The sequence below is a fragment of the Homo sapiens genome, chromosome X (assembly GCF_000001405.40).
Source record: "Homo sapiens chromosome X, GRCh38.p14 Primary Assembly".
In the NCBI taxonomy this organism is placed as follows: Eukaryota; Metazoa; Chordata; class Mammalia; order Primates; family Hominidae; genus Homo; species Homo sapiens.
The window spans coordinates 56,750,019-56,765,304 of NC_000023.11; the positions used below are offsets into that span (position 1 = coordinate 56,750,019).

Sequence of the window (15,286 nt, forward strand, 5' to 3'; positions counted from 1 at the left end):
TATAGATGTTTTGAAATTTTTATCTTAATATAATAAAGCATTAAAATATTTAAGAAAGGGAGCCAGATAGAATTGGAAACCATTGGCACAGGAGAAATAAGATAAGAATGAGTGAAAATGCCGATTTTTAAACAACAATGAAGAGATTTGTGAGAATGGCTAATGCATTATGCTTTGTGGAAGAGGTTACCATAGTTCTAATTCCCAAATCCAATGACTGGATTTTGGGTTTTATCTTGATCCTTCTGCAACGTTTAAAATTCTCTGCTTTCTTCCATTCTACAACATTCTTCTCTTCTAGTTCTCCTTTTACATATCTGGCCATTGTTTCTAACTATTTTTTTCTGAGTACCTCCTCAGCCTAGATCCTTAAATTGAGTGGTTCCTGAATCTTCCTATTTCAATCCTCACTTCTTCTTGGCAATCTCACCCACTGTCCTGGGTTAAATAAAAAAAATATATGCAGACGACTTCCAAATCTGTATTTCTAGCACAAGCTTTATGCCAGGCTCAAACTCATATAGTCACCTGCCTGCTCTTTCTGTGTGATTGCCTTATCACCTTAGACTGAATGTTACCAAAACTGAACTCTTCATCACCCCACCAGCAGCACCACAAACCTCTTTATTCTTTATTGTTTGTACTAGTACTTCTAAGGCAAAAACTAGGGTATATGTCATGTTTCTTCTCTCTTACCTCCACTTTTTAATCTGTCACCAAGTCATAATGGTTATTTCTTCAAAATATTCCATGATTTTTTCTTCTATCTTTCATTTCCAAAACTCTAGTCCCATTCCCCGGTTTGGACCCTCAACATTTTTCTCCTGAATGACAATAATAGTTTTCTAACTGATCTCCTGCCTCCAGTACTGTGTACTGACTCTTGGCACAGCCTTTAGAATAGCCTCTAAAATAAATATCTGATCACATTGCTCCCCTACTTAAAATCCTTTAATGATTTTTTGCTTCCTATGAAAATCCTTTAATGATTTCTTGCTTTCTATGATAATGTCTAAAGTCTTAGCATGACCTAAAAGATTCTGTATGGCATACCTCTTAATCAAGCCTTATCTGTTGCCACCAATTCCTACACCTCATCCCAAACTCACACAACTTTTTTTTTTTTTGGATTTTATGTGCCACTAGGGTTTTCTTGAACATACTATTATTTCATGCAGATTTCTTTGTACATTTGACTCCCTCTAACATCTTTACACCCTTGTTTACCTAGTGAACTTCATTCTTCAAATTCCTGCTCATTTGTCATAGCCTCAATATTTTTTTTCCTCATCCTCTGTCTTCAGCCTCTAAAAATAATTGCTTCCTCTTTACTATTTCTGTGCCTGGTATTTGTCTATTATTGCACATGTCAAACAATAACTTGGTGAATGTACATTGAATTCTCAGTGTAGTACCTTTCCATCTGGTTGATTAGGAATTTTAAAAAGAATTACAATGCACAACAGAAGTTACTTCATTTGTTTCTAGGTTTTTGCTTTTTATGGTGGTATAAGTCATAGTAAAGTACATAAATCTTAAGTATATAGCTCAATGAATTTGTACATATACTTATATACTAGTGTAAACAACACCTAGATCAAAATATAAAACACTTCCAATACCCTAGAAAGCACATTTGTGTCCTTTTCAAGTTAACATTCACAAAAAGTAACCACTATTCTAACATCTGTCACCATTGATTAGTTTCGCATATTCTTGAACTTTATTTAAGTGGAATCACAGAATATGTACTCTTTTTAAAATTTTAACTATTATTTTACTTGTAGGGGCTACATACGCAGGTTTATTACATGGATGTATTGCACTGACATCCATTCCCTCCTGCCTCTAGTAATCTGCAGTGTTTATTGCTCCCAAGTTTATGTCCATATGTGTTCAATGTTTAGATCCCACTTATAAGTGAGAACATGTGGTATTAGGTTTTCTGTTTCTGCATTAATTCATTTAGGATTATGGACTCCAGCTCCATCCATATTGCTGCAGAGGACATAATTTCATTGTTTTCTGTGGCTGCATAGTATTCCATGGTGTACATGAAACACATTTTCTTCATCCAGTCTACCACTAATGGGCACCTAGGTTGATTTAATGTCTTTGCTATTGTGAATAGTACAGTAGTGAACATACGAGTGCTTGTGTCTTTTTGGTATAATGATCTATTTATTATCAGTTATGTATACAGTAATGGGATTGCTGGATCAATTGGTAGCTCTGTTTTAAAAATTTCTTTGAGAAATCTAAACTGCTTTCCACAGTGGCTGAACTAATTTACATTCACACCAGCAATGTATACGTGTTCCCATTGCTCCACAGCCTCACCAGTAGCTATTGTTTTTTGACTTTTTATAGTAGCCATCCTGATTGGTGTGAGATTTTTTTTATTGTGGTTTTGATTTGCACTTCACAAGACTGTACTCTTTTGTCAGATAGGTTTTTATTTGAAGCCTTATCAGTACCTTAGAACTCTGCTGCACCCTAATGATATCTGTGAGGAAAGAGATATTGAAACAGCTCTTGAGGGGATGCTCCAAGAGGAAGGCAAGACTTCAACAACTCTTTTTATTTTTATTTTATTTATTTATTTTTTTGAGATGGAGTCTCACTCTGTTGCCCACTCTGGAGTGCAGTGGCAAGATCTCAGCTCACTGCAACCTCCACCTCCCAGGTTCAAGTGATTCTCCTGCCTCAGCCTCCGAGTAGCTGGGATTACAGGTGCACACCACTATGCCCAGATAATCTCTTGTATTTTTAGTAGAGACGGGGGTTTCACCATGATGGCCAAGCTGGTTTCGAACTCCTGACCTCAAGTGATCCACCTGCCTCGGCCTCCCAAAGTGCTAGGATTACAGGCATGAGCCACCGTACCCAGCCAGCAACTATTGAATCATAAAAATCAGAAAGCCTATGATTATTTGGATGGGTGTCCTCACAGTGAAATAGAATGTTTATCTAATGTGTTATCTACTTGAAGGCAAAATGAAATATCCAGAAATTTGAAGAGACTGTGGAAGAAGAGATCTTAAACGTTTCCAAGAAAGAAAGGGTGTTAATTTGAAATTAACTCAGTTCTATTCAGTCAACACTTACTGAACACTTGCTGTGTTAGGCACTATATGAGACAAAGGGGACACCCAGATTACTAAACCATGCACCTGTTCTTGAAGACTACTCAGTCTAATGCTGGAGACAAGATCTTTCTGTAAGGAAGAAGCTAAAGCTAGGAAGCACAAAGGATAGATAGTGATCCCAGACACAGAAGGCTTCTTGGAAGATATAGGGCTTGAATTAAACTTACATTATAAATAGGAGGCATTCAGGTGAAGAAAGTTAGCAAGGTATTTAGTTTTCAGTCATGTGAATTTGAGGTACCTGTGAGACATTCAAGTGAAGATGTCCACTAGAATGTCAGAAATATAGGCAAAGAATGCAGACTTGAATGATAATCAGCATATAGGTGAGAGTTGTCATCATATAGATGAGAGTTGAAGCCATGGGAAAGTGTATATTGTGAGAAGAAAAAGTGGTCAAGAAGAAAATTTTGAAGAACACAAACATTGAAATGACTGGGAGAGGAAGTGGGTCCTGGAAAGGAAACTGAATTGACAAAAAAAAGTAAAAAAGGTAAGCAGAAAATGAGGATTCCTGAAACCTAAGGGAAGAAACTATCTCAAGAAAGAGGGTGTGGTTAACAGTGTCAAATATTTTTATAAGAGAAGGATTTAAAAGCATCCATTGGTGATGGGGACAGAAGGGAAGGAAAAAAAAACATTGAGTCTATCAAAGGAGGTCCTGTATTAGTGACTTTGGTAAGAGAAGATTTATTGGCATAGAAGGGACAGAAAAAAGATTGTAGTGGATTGAAGAGTGCATGGAGGAGTGTGAGGAAGTGGGTGAAGATAGGGAAGACATTGCTTCCAGGAATTTGAGCTGTGATGAGTAGCAAAAGGGGAAGAAAGTTATAATAGGAGGGGAACAAGGTTAAAGGAACCATCTTTTAAGATGGAAAAGACTTAAACTTGTTTAAATGTCAGTAGGAAAGATCAAATAAAGAGGAATAGCTGAAGAGAGAGGAAAAAGTGAGTATAATGAATAGTTCGAAGGAAGTGAGATTATATGGGATCCAGAGCAGAGGTGGAAGAGTATGCCTTAGGAGAGGAGGAGAATTGAAGGGAGAAATAAACAGTTCCACAATAATAGTTGGAGACTTAAATACCTTACTTTCAATAATGGATAAGACATGTAAACAGAAGATCAATAAAGCGATAGTGAACTTGAACAGCACTGTAAACCAGTAGATCTAACAGACTGTAAAGACCTAACAGCACTGTCCCATAGACCTAACAGGCATGTATAGAACACTTCATCTAACAACAGGAATATACACATTTTTCTCAAGTGCCATGGAACATTCTCCAGGATAGGCCATATATTAGGCCACAAAACAAGCTTCAATAAATTTAAAAAGATGAAAGTCATACAATATCTTCTACAATGACAATGGAAGGAATCTAAAAATCAATAACAGAGGAAAACTGGAAAATCATATAACATTTTTAATAAATGGTTCAAAGAAGAAATCTTAAGGGAAATTAGACAAAATTGTGAAATAAATGAAAATGAAAACATGCCAGAACTTAAGGGACACAGTAAGATCAGTGCTCAGAGGGAAATTTGTAGCTGTAAATGTCAACATTAGAAAAGCAGAAAGATCTTGAAACCTGACTCTACACCTAGAGGAACAAGAAAAATAATAGCAAAACAAACCCAAAACTAGAAGAAGGAAGGAAATAATAAAGATTAGAGTGGAGATAAACAAAACAGAGAATAGAAAAACAATAAAGGGAAAAACAAACCAAAAGTTGATTTTTTTGAAAATATCAACAAAATTGACAAAACGTTACCAAATACCTGAAATAATAAGTAAATCAGAAATGAGAATGGAGCCACATATCTACAACCATCTGATCTTTGACAAACCTAACAAAAACAAGAAATGGGGAAACAATTCCCTATTTAATAAATGGTGCTGGGAAAACTGGCTAGCCATATGTAGAAAACTGAAACTGGATCCCTTCCTTACACCTTATACAAAAGTTAATTCAAGATGGATTAAAGACTTAAATGTTAGACCTAAAACCATAAAAACCCTAGAAGAAAACTTAGGCAATACCATTCACGACATAGGCATGGGCAAGGACTTCATGTCTAAAACACCAAAAGCAATGGCAACAAAAGCCAAAATTGACAAATGGGATCTAACTAAACTAAAGAGCTTCTGCACAGCAAAAGAAACTACCATCAGAGTGAACAGGCAACCTACAAAATGGGAGAAAATTTTTGCAATCTACTCATGTGACAACGGGCTAATATCCAGAATCTACAATGAACTCCAACAAATTTACAAGGAAAAAACAAACAACCCCATCAAAAAGTGGGCAAAGGATATGAACAGACACTTCTCAAAAGAAGACATTTATGCAGCCAAAAGACACATGAAAAAATGCTCATCATCACTGGCCATCAGAGAAATGCAAATCAAAACCACAATGAGATACCGTCTCACACCAGTTAGAATGGAAATCATTAAAAAGTCAGGAAACAACAGGTGCTGGAGAGGATGTGGAGAAATAGGAACACTTTTACACTGTTGGTGGGACTGTAAACTAGTTGAACCATTGTGGAAGTCAGTGTGGTGATTCCTCAGGGATCTAGAACTAGAAATACCATTTGACCCAGCCATCCCATTACTGGGTATATACCCAAAGGACTATAAATCATGCCGCTATAAAGACACATGCACACGTATGTTTATTGCGGCACTATTCACAATAGCAAAGACTTGGAACCAACCCAAATGTCCAACAATGATAGACTGGATTAAGAAAATGTGGCACATATACACCATGGAATACTATGCAGCCATAAAAAATGATGAGTTCATGTCCTTTGTAGGGACATGGATGAAATTGGAAATCATCATTCTCAGTAAACTATCATAAGGACAAAAAACCAAACACTGCATGTTCTCACTCATAGGTGGGAATTGAACAATGAGAACACATGGACACAGGAAGGGGAACATCACACTCTGGGGACTGTTGTGAGGTGGGGGGAGGGGGGAGGGATAGCATTACGAAATATACCTAATGCTAAATGACGAGTTAATGGGTGCAGCACACCAGCATGGCACATGTATACATATGTAACTAACCTGCGCATTGTGCACATATACCCTAAAACTTGAAGTATAATAATAATAAAATAAATAAATAAATAATAAAATGGTTAAATTTATAATATATTAATTTATCCACAGCTAAATAAAAAACAATTAAAAGATCCATTTGGAAAAGGATACACCCTATTAAAGTAAGCCTGATACATGAAACAACAGCTAAAAAAGAAAAAAAAAAAGTAACACAATTGACAACCTAAATAAAGAAAATACTTACACTGAAAGAAAACATAAACAAGACCAAGATCAGGTTATAAAAAAAGAGTTAGTGTATAATGTACTTAAAAACATTGCCTCTGTCAATGAATAAAAAGAATAACATATTAGCGAAGTGCATTAAGGAAGGCAACAGACGAATAGGAAAAATAATGTGCAAGATTTAGTAAATAAATATAGGAAAACTAAAATGGCCAGGCACAGTTGCTCACTCCTGTAATCTCAATGTTTTGGGAGGGCAAGCTGGGCGGATCACTTGAGGTCAGGAGTTTGAGACTAGGCTGTCCAACATGGTGAAACCCTGTCTCTACAAAAAATTAGCGGACTTGGTGGTGCATGCCTATAATCCCAGTGAATCTGGAGGCTGAGGCATGAGAATCACTTGAACCAGGAGGCGGGGGTTGTAGTGAGCCGAGATTGCGCCACTCCACTCCACCATGGGTGACAAAGTGAGACTCTCCCTGAAAAAAAGAAAAGAAAAGAAAAGAAAATGACCCTAGACACATTTTAGTATTTACATAATGTAAATTATTTAACACAACAGTACTGATTAAACTGTAATAACAACGATAAATAATATTGACTGGCTTTTGATAAGTATAATTCTCAAATATGATCAGAATTAGAATATATTGCTAAAGAACTTTAGGAAGGTGTTAATTGAAAATTCTAATTGTGAGAATTCAGTGTCCACAAGAGACATGTTCTATTTCATAATACATTAATATATTTCCTTATATTAGATTTTTCTGAAGGTTTGTAGAAGTGCATCTTGTACTCTGCAGAGGAATAGGATGACAAATGAACTCAGGGTTAATTGGAATAATTTTAAAATGCACGTTGATTAAATAAGAAGGCAGCATTGATTTCACAGCAACTATATATAACTATTCATTGTGGTTTCATAAACAACAAAAATTGTAACCACTAAACACACTAATTCTGGGCATCCCTTCCTTCGCTTCGTGCACCATCAATTCAGTGGCCCTTTGCAGTGAGCACTTGACATCCGAAAAACAAAAGAAAACCTAAAAAACAAAATGAGGAACCAACTAAGGTACACCCTTCTCACTTCAGCAGGGCTCCCCCCACTTGACCACATTGGGGAAACCTGCAAAAGTAGGAGGATTCTCTGCTTCCATCATTCCTTCTAGATTATTCTCTCGGAAAGGGAAAAAGAAGAGAAGAGAAGGGAAAGAGAAGGGAACGGGAGGGGAGGGGAGGAGAAAGGGAGCGGGGAAGGGAAGGTTTGTCTTCAAAAAATCCAACCATTGGGGCTGTAGCATGGTGGGGGGAGCTTGTAGGAAGGAAGGAAGGAATGCTTGTCTTCAAAAAATACAACCACTGGGGCTGTAGTATGGTGAGGGGAGCTTGTATTTCCGGGAAACAGGGGAGGTGTGTGTGGGTATTGGAGGAGGGTGGCTACAGAATCCTCTATGAACCTGCTCAGGTCTCATAAACAGGAAAACAAGCCACTTGCTTGTGTGCACCACACTTGTCCCTAGGCAGCACACTCCCTCCTGGGAAAGAGATCAAAGTTTGGATTAAAAGCAGCCAGGTCCGCTAGGCATGGTGGCCCACACCTGTAATCTCAGCACTTTGGGAGGCCAAGGTGGGCAGATTGCTTGAGGCCAGGAATTTGAGACCAGCCTGGCAAATATGGTGAAACCCTATCTCTACTAAAATTACAAAAATTAGCATGTAATCTCAGCTACTTTGGGAGGCTAAGGCAAGAGAATTGCTTGAACTCAGGAGACAGAGGTTTCAGGGAGCCGAGATTGTGCCACTGCACTCCAGCCTGTGTGACAGAGTGAGACTCTGTCTCGAAAAAAAAAAAAAAAAAGAAAGAAAAAAAGAAAGGCAGCCAGGTCCAACAGGCATCTGCACATTGTTGACCCATCCAGCAGAACAGGGTCGAGAAAGGCATCTGTCGGGATGGGGCAGGACAGGACGAGACAGACTATTGTCTGAGGCATTTGGCTACCTCTCTGACTGGAACCCAGGCACTCATATGTGCCCAGGAATGGGTGGGATATTCCGGATGGGTTCCACAGGTGGCTCTCCTAGAGAGACCCACTTGGCATATTTGATGATGGAGCATGCAGGCTCCCTGGAACGTGATGGCTCACTAGTTAGTACCCCCGGCATCTTGGTCATTCTGCTGAAGTGCATGGGTAGCCAGGCCCCCGGCAGTGCTCAGTTTCTCCTGGGCCCCTCTGTGTTCCTGTGGTGGGTGTGGAAGTGGAGGTTGAGGCTAGAGTGTCTTTGAGGGTGGTGGGGCAGCTGTGCCTTGATTTGATACAGAGCTCTCTGGGCTCCTCAAGCTAAACTCTGGTGCTTGCCAGATACTCAGCTCAGATAATGAATGAGACGGTGGAGGACAAATTATTTTGCCCCTTTAGGGTCTCCAGGCAGACATGCAAAAGCCTGGTGCAGGGCCTTCATACAGAGCCCATGTTGGGTGCAAAGCCATGACCCCGTTGCTCTAAAGGTTGCATGTCCTACCCATACCGCTTGGTACCTGGAGAGCAGCATGGAACACAATGCTCTCAGAATATTGAAAAGGTTTTCTGTGTCTCCACTGAGGGATACTCCTGCCTCAGGCCCTGTGGCTGCCTATTGAGCCATCAGCCCATTCTGGTGACCTGCATGTGCCAGGACAATGTGGTAATCTCAACCAGGAGCTCCAGGTTTACATAGGCCCCCAGTCCTTGGGTAAATCCTTGTGTAAGCCAGCTGGGTGGCTCCCACTTTCTCCTGGAATGGCAGCCCTATGATCCCAGTCCACCTGTGGTGTCCCAGTGGCCATGATTATGTGTCCTTTGTCATTACTTTCTGCACTAGAAGCAGCCACAAAACCTGGAGAGGGCCAAAGGAAGGGCAAAGGCTGGATGCCGAAACAGGATTCCCACAGGGTCTCCAGCCTACCAGGCCTTGGTCATTGGGACCCCTGAGTTTGGTGGTCAACCTGGGACCTAGTGGCTGTTTTCTTTTTCTCCCCACTTTTTCTCTTTCTCCTTCCTATTTTTTTTTTTCACATGGGAAAAGGCGGAGGACCTCGGGGTGGAGGAGCAGGGTTACAGTTATAGTTAGTGTTTGTGGAGCCCTACTGCCATCAAGCAGAAACAGTTTCTGGCACTGGGATACAGCTGAGCACCAGTGCTGGGGAAAGCCCAGGAGTGCTAAACAGATGGCGACAAGCCGTCCACAGGCTGAAGCAGGAGGAGAGAGGAACTCCTGACTGGCCCTTGGCCTGTGCTTATTCCCAGGATGGCGCCTTGGCTCCACAGCTCTCTCTGAAAGAAAGGGCAGGCAGGGGCACCCCACCATGGGCTCCCCTGGCAGTCTCCAGGGACTTCCAAGCATGAATCGCCCCGCCCCCAGCACCCCGAAGTTCCTTTGTTCCCAGGGAGAATAAGAACCCCTTGGCCCCAGCTTGGACCCAGCCAATGGCACCTTGGAACTCCCCACAAAGGAGACCAGAGTAAACAGCCCCAGTCTCGACCATCAGTGCCCAGTGGCTTCCCTTATGCCCATCACAAGACAGGGTGTCTCTGCCCACTGGGTAGACTGGTCTTGAGGCTGCCGGGTTGTTCTGTCCCAGGGCCTCTAGAGTTGCTGCTTCTCCATGAGGTCCCAATGGCAGGTACACTTCCTTCAAGGGCTTTGAACCCCGGTGGGGGGAAACCCTGCCTTGGGCTGAGTCTACCCAGCCTGGCACATCCTCACTGTTTGTTGTCTGTGCCTGGAAGAAGGCAAGTTTCCTTGCAGCCTGTAGTTCAGAAACACCTTCCACTGGATGTCACTGTGGCTCCACAAATGGCAGTCACCCCTTTTCTTTCCCCCACCTTGCCTTCCTCTCCCTCCTTTTGCTGGCAACCAAACAAAACAAAGACCAGAAAACAGAAACTGGGGCTGGGTGCGGTGGCTGACGCCTGTAATCCCAGCACTTTGGGAAGCCGAGGCAGGCAGATCACTTGAGGTCAGGAGCTCGAGACCAGCTTGACCAACATGGAGAAACCCTGTCTCTATTAAAAATAGAAAATTAGCTGGGCGTGGTGGCACATGCTTGTAATCCCAACTACGGGGAGGCTGAGGCAGGAGAATCGCTTGAACCCGGGAGACGGAGGTTGTGGTGAGCCGAGATTGCACCATTGCACTCCAGCCTGGGCAATAAGAGTGAAACTCTGTCTCAAAAAACAAACAAACAAACAAAACAAAATAAAAAAAACAAAGAAACAAACCGGCCAAAGAGCACCCACCTCATCTTCAGCATTGCTCCTCACCTACATGGTCACTTTGGGGAAACTTGCCTTCCTCCTTCCCTCTGGATTCTTCTTTGTGCAGGGGGTCCCAATGAACCAGCCTATCCTCAAGAAATCCCACCCTTGGGGCTGTGGCATGATGTGGGGAGGTTGCACTGGGGAAGGTGTGAGGGGCTACAGGGTGGCGGGTGTGTGGGTGTGTAGGTCTGCATTCCAGCCACTGCAGATTTCTCTATGAATCTGCATAGGCCTCCTAAGAAGGAGACTGGCGCGTGCCTAGAGAAAAAGCAGGAAGATAAGAATGCAGGAAGATCTGGACTGCATCCTTAGGGGTGGCATTGTGACTCTGATTGTCAGAGGTCTCCGTTTTTAACGTTTAACTCCCATCACATCTCAACTTTTTCCTGTCTTCACCTGTGCTTCCAAATGTCCTCAGGCACATATATGTGTCCCTACTCATACTCACTCACAAGCGTCTGCCCAGGCACCTCCACTCATACCTGGGTCCTGTTGTGCAGGCAACTCTCAGAGGGCAGGGTTCTTCAGCTTCCCGGTTCCATCTTGTTCATCTTCCTCATCCCTTGTTGTCTGGCTGCCCAATATTTGCTGGCGGAGGGTGCGGGATGTGTTGGGGGTGGAGACAGCAGGGAGCAGGGCAGCCTCCTGGCCCAACAGGCCTCTGTGCACATGCAGTGCAGACCTGGGCATAAGGGGCTGACACTTTCTCCTGGCTGGTTGGTGGCTCTTCCTCTGTGAAGCCACAGAAGGTCACTCGGGTTGCCACCTGTCCATCTGGGACATTCTGCATTCTTGTTCGCTGTCATCCTCATTGCTCACGTTGATTCTTAGTATACTTTTGGAGTTTTTCTTCCTTCACTTTTTTCTTCTTCACTGTCTTTACTTCTCGTCCACTTCTGGTTTGGGGAGGTCAGGATTCGCCTGGAAGGCAGGGTCCGGTTGGCAAGCGAACATATTTAGGGAGAACACGCCTTCTTTTCCTCAGGAAATTAGAAAGACCTCAGTTGACTCCTGCCAGATGTAATCGGGGTGCCCCTCTCCTTTCTGCCCTCTCTCCCTAGTGCCATAGGTGGCTGATTACCTCCTTTCCCTGGTGTCCTTTTCCTCTCCGTTTTTCCTCTCTCCTCCCATTTCTGGGGTCCTACCCTTCATTGGCCTTGTAGACTAGGGGCTCGTGGCCCCTTGCGGTTTGCAGATGACATCCAGAGGGTATGGTTTAGCCTGCATCTTTGTCCTCTGTAGCCCCTGCAGACCTATTTGTGGATCAAAGCTTTTGATCCGACTCACAAGGGATCCCATCAACAAGAAGCTTCTTGGTGGTGTGTCCTTTCACTGGGATGTCACTGTTGTCTCTTTGTCACTCGTTATGTATGTCACCACGCATTGAGGCACCCATGAACTCTATCCTTCAGGACAGCTGAGGTGGCATGAAGCTGCCATTTCTTGTTCTTTTTCTCCATCTGGTTCTTCTTCCTCTTCCTCCTCTTCCTCTTTCTTTCTCTTTTCTTTTCTTTTCTTTCTTTCTTTCCACCTCCTCCTCCTTTTTCTTCTTCTTTTCTTCCCTCCTCCTCCTCCTCCTCTCTCTTTTCCTTTCACTTTCAGATCTTGGCGAGACAAATGTTCTATGGAGACTGCTTCTTCTGCTCCTTGGTAATGGGGGATGTCCCTCTGCGTGCTAGGCAAGGAGAAAGCTTCACTTTTGTTCTGAAAGGAGCAGAGATGAAGGTCACATGTTCAGTTCCTCTGGTCCTCTAAAAAACCACCCATGTGTTACTTTTAAGTGAAATGTCATTCTGAATGCACTTCCTACCAGTACCTCACGATTCATCCTTCTACCTTGTTCTCCTTGAAGACGATCTAATAATGTAATCTTGGCCAGTAGGAGCCTCAGCAAGTTTTCCCCCATTTCCTCTCCTTCCAGTCAAGCCATGTGAACACAACTATCCGGATTTCAGTGTATACAGGCAGGCTGTCTCTGCCATGTGCCAGTTTACCCACTCTCACACAGGAAGGCACCCACAAACCATAGACACAGATACACATACACACACTCACTAGGGACCTCAGAAATGAAATCACAAACACACCCGCACACAGAGACACATGCAGACACACACAAACACACACATAGACACACAAACAAGAAACCTCACAGGGGCACAGGGGTGCAGGCCCAAGCATTCTCCCACACAGACACATACACACCACCACAGGCACGAGACTGCCTACAATTTCTCCCACACAGGTTCTAAATGTGCAAAGGGAACAGGAGACAGGGGAGAATTCCTGACTCCAGGCCTGGGCCATCATGCCATTGATTGATGGGCAACTCTCGCCTTCTCCTGAGAATCAATGTGGGAAGTCTGTTAACAGATAGGATCCAGCAGCTGGTGTAAAACTGGAGCATCCTGGGTCAAGCTGCTTAAAAAGGAACCTCACTTTGTGTTAGAGACAGAGAGAGTTCCCTTGGGAGCCTTGGCCCTGTGTGATGCCATAAGAATCTGTGGTGTGTGGTGGCATTCCCCAGCACCCCTGAGCCACCCTCCTCCCACCCCCATCTGTGTGAAACCCAGGACAGCCTGAGCAGAGTCAGACTTGAGCAAGTTGCTGAGTGTCCTCTCTGAGAGATACTCCTGCTTCAGGCCCTGTGGTTTCCAGTTGAGCAGTCCACCTATTTTGATGACCTCCATGTGTCAGCCCAAGGCGGTAAACTCTACCTGGAGCTCCAGGCTTTCGTAGGACCCCCAGTCCTGCAGCAGAACCTTGTGTAAGCCAGCTGGGTGACCAGCACCTTGTCCTGGGGCAGTAGCCCTATGATCCTAGTCCTCCTGTGGTGTCCCAGTAATGATCATGTTTTTTGTTGTTTACTTTCTGCACGGGCAAGAGCCATGAAACCTGCAGAGAGCCAAAGGAAGGGCAAAGGCTGGCTCCCTAAACAGGATTCCCACAGGATCTCCAGCCTACTGGTCCTGGTCCTTGGTCACACGGTCCCATGAGTTTGGTGATCAATCTGGGACCAGGTGACTGATTCCTTTCACTCCTCTGTCTTTTTTTTTGTTTCTCTTTCCTCTTTACCTTTTTTCACATGGGAAAAGGCGGAGGCCCTGGAGTTGAAGTGGCAGGGTTACAGTTGTAGTTGGCGTTTGTGGAGCCATACTGCCATCAAGCGGAAACTGTATCTAGAAACCGGAGGCAGCTGGGCACAAGTGCTGGGGAAACCCCACGAGCGCAAAAGAGATGGCGGCATGGAGCCCCCAGGCTGAAGCAGGACAAGAGAGGAACTCCAAGCTGGCCCTTGGCCTGTGCTCATTCCCAGGATGCCTCCCTGGTTCCACAGCTCTCTCCGAAAAAAAGGGCAGGTAGGGGCGACCCACCATGGGTTCCCCTGGTCATCTCCAGGTACTGCTGGTCCTGGGTTGCCACGTCTCCAGTATCCCGAAGCTCCTTTGTTCCCCGGGAGGATCGGGGCCCCCTTGCCAACACGTGGCTCCAGCCAAGGGAACCCCGGAACTCCCCACAAAAGACACCAGAGTAAACGGCCCCCGTCTCGGCCAGTGGCTTCGTTTATGTCCATCTCAACATGGCTGCCGGGCCAGCTCCGCCCTCTGGGCTGACTGGTCTTGGGGCTGCCTGGCTGTTCTGTCCTGGGGCCTCTAGAGTAGTTGCTTCTCCAAAGCGTCCCAATGCCAGGTACACTTCCTTCAAGGGCTCAGAACCCCGGTGGGGGAAACCCAGGCTTAGACATAGTCTAAGCACATCCTCGCTGATCTCTGTTCCTGGCAGAAGGCAGGTGTCCGTGCATCCTGTTGTGTTCAGAAACAACTTCCACTAGATGGCAATGTGGCTCCACAAACAGCAGTCTTGTCTTTCCCTTCCCCCATTTTCTTTCCCTCTTTCTGTTTTTGGTGCCAAAAACCAAAACAAACACCAAAAAAAAAAAAAAAAAAAAGAAACTGGCCTAGGAGCACCCATCTCACCTACAGCAGGGCTTCCCATCTATGTGGTCACTTTGGGGGAACCGGCAACAGTAGGATGGGGTAGGGGTGGGGGCCACAGGGAGCAGGGCAGCTTCCTGGCCCAACAGGCCTCTGTGCCCACGCGGTGCAGACCCGGGCTTGAGGGGCTGATGCTTTCTCCTGGCTGGTGGCTCTTCCTCTGTGAGGCCACAAGAGGCCACTCATAGTGCTGCCAGCTGTCCATCTGAGGCACTTTGCATTGCAGTTCGCTGTCAATCTCATTGCTCACTGATTCTTTGTGTACTTTTGGAGTTTTTCTCCCTTCACTTTTTTCTTCTTCATTCTCTTTACTTTTTCTCCACTTCTGCTCCAGGAGCAGACTGGAAGGCAGGGTCAGCTGGGCGCGGGGACACCGTTAGGGAAAACAGGCTTACTTTTCCTAAGGAAATTAGTAGGACTCTAGCTGACCCCTGCGAGGAGAAATTGGCGTTTCCCTCTCCTTTCTGCCCTGTCTCCATATTGCAGTGGGTGGCTGATTATCTCTTTTCCCTGGTGTCCAATTCCTCCCCGTTTTT

The 15,286-nt window shown here is 44.3% G+C and overlaps 1 protein-coding gene across 1 annotated transcript in view, besides 6 other annotated features; it reads left to right on the forward strand.

Moving 5' to 3' along the window:
• The window catches only part of NBDY (negative regulator of P-body association), an 89,937-nt gene that overhangs the window by 20,776 nt on the left and 53,875 nt on the right, over nt 1-15,286 (forward strand). The window lies entirely within an intron of this gene.
• Nucleotides 10,194-10,293: an enhancer, noted in NCBI's record as "active region_29690". NCBI's record gives its function as "activates an Ori minimal core promoter by ATAC-STARR-seq in GM12878 lymphoblastoid cells {active_cell/tissue: GM12878}" and the evidence as "EXISTENCE:reporter gene assay evidence [ECO:0000049][PMID:35858748]".
• Nucleotides 13,589-13,638: an enhancer, noted in NCBI's record as "active region_29691". NCBI's record gives its function as "activates an Ori minimal core promoter by ATAC-STARR-seq in GM12878 lymphoblastoid cells {active_cell/tissue: GM12878}" and the evidence as "EXISTENCE:reporter gene assay evidence [ECO:0000049][PMID:35858748]".
• Nucleotides 13,659-13,778: an enhancer, noted in NCBI's record as "active region_29692". NCBI's record gives its function as "activates an Ori minimal core promoter by ATAC-STARR-seq in GM12878 lymphoblastoid cells {active_cell/tissue: GM12878}" and the evidence as "EXISTENCE:reporter gene assay evidence [ECO:0000049][PMID:35858748]".
• Nucleotides 13,659-14,243: a biological region, named in NCBI's record as "H3K4me1 hESC enhancer GRCh37_chrX:56790193-56790694".
• Nucleotides 13,742-14,243: an enhancer, noted in NCBI's record as "H3K4me1 hESC enhancer chrX:56790193-56790694 (GRCh37/hg19 assembly coordinates)". NCBI's record gives its function as "activates a minimal SCP1, AML or CMV promoter by ChIP-STARR-seq in primed H9 embryonic stem cells {active_cell/tissue: H9 hESC(primed)}" and the evidence as "EXISTENCE:reporter gene assay evidence [ECO:0000049][PMID:30033119]".
• Nucleotides 14,239-14,598: an enhancer, noted in NCBI's record as "active region_29693". NCBI's record gives its function as "activates an Ori minimal core promoter by ATAC-STARR-seq in GM12878 lymphoblastoid cells {active_cell/tissue: GM12878}" and the evidence as "EXISTENCE:reporter gene assay evidence [ECO:0000049][PMID:35858748]".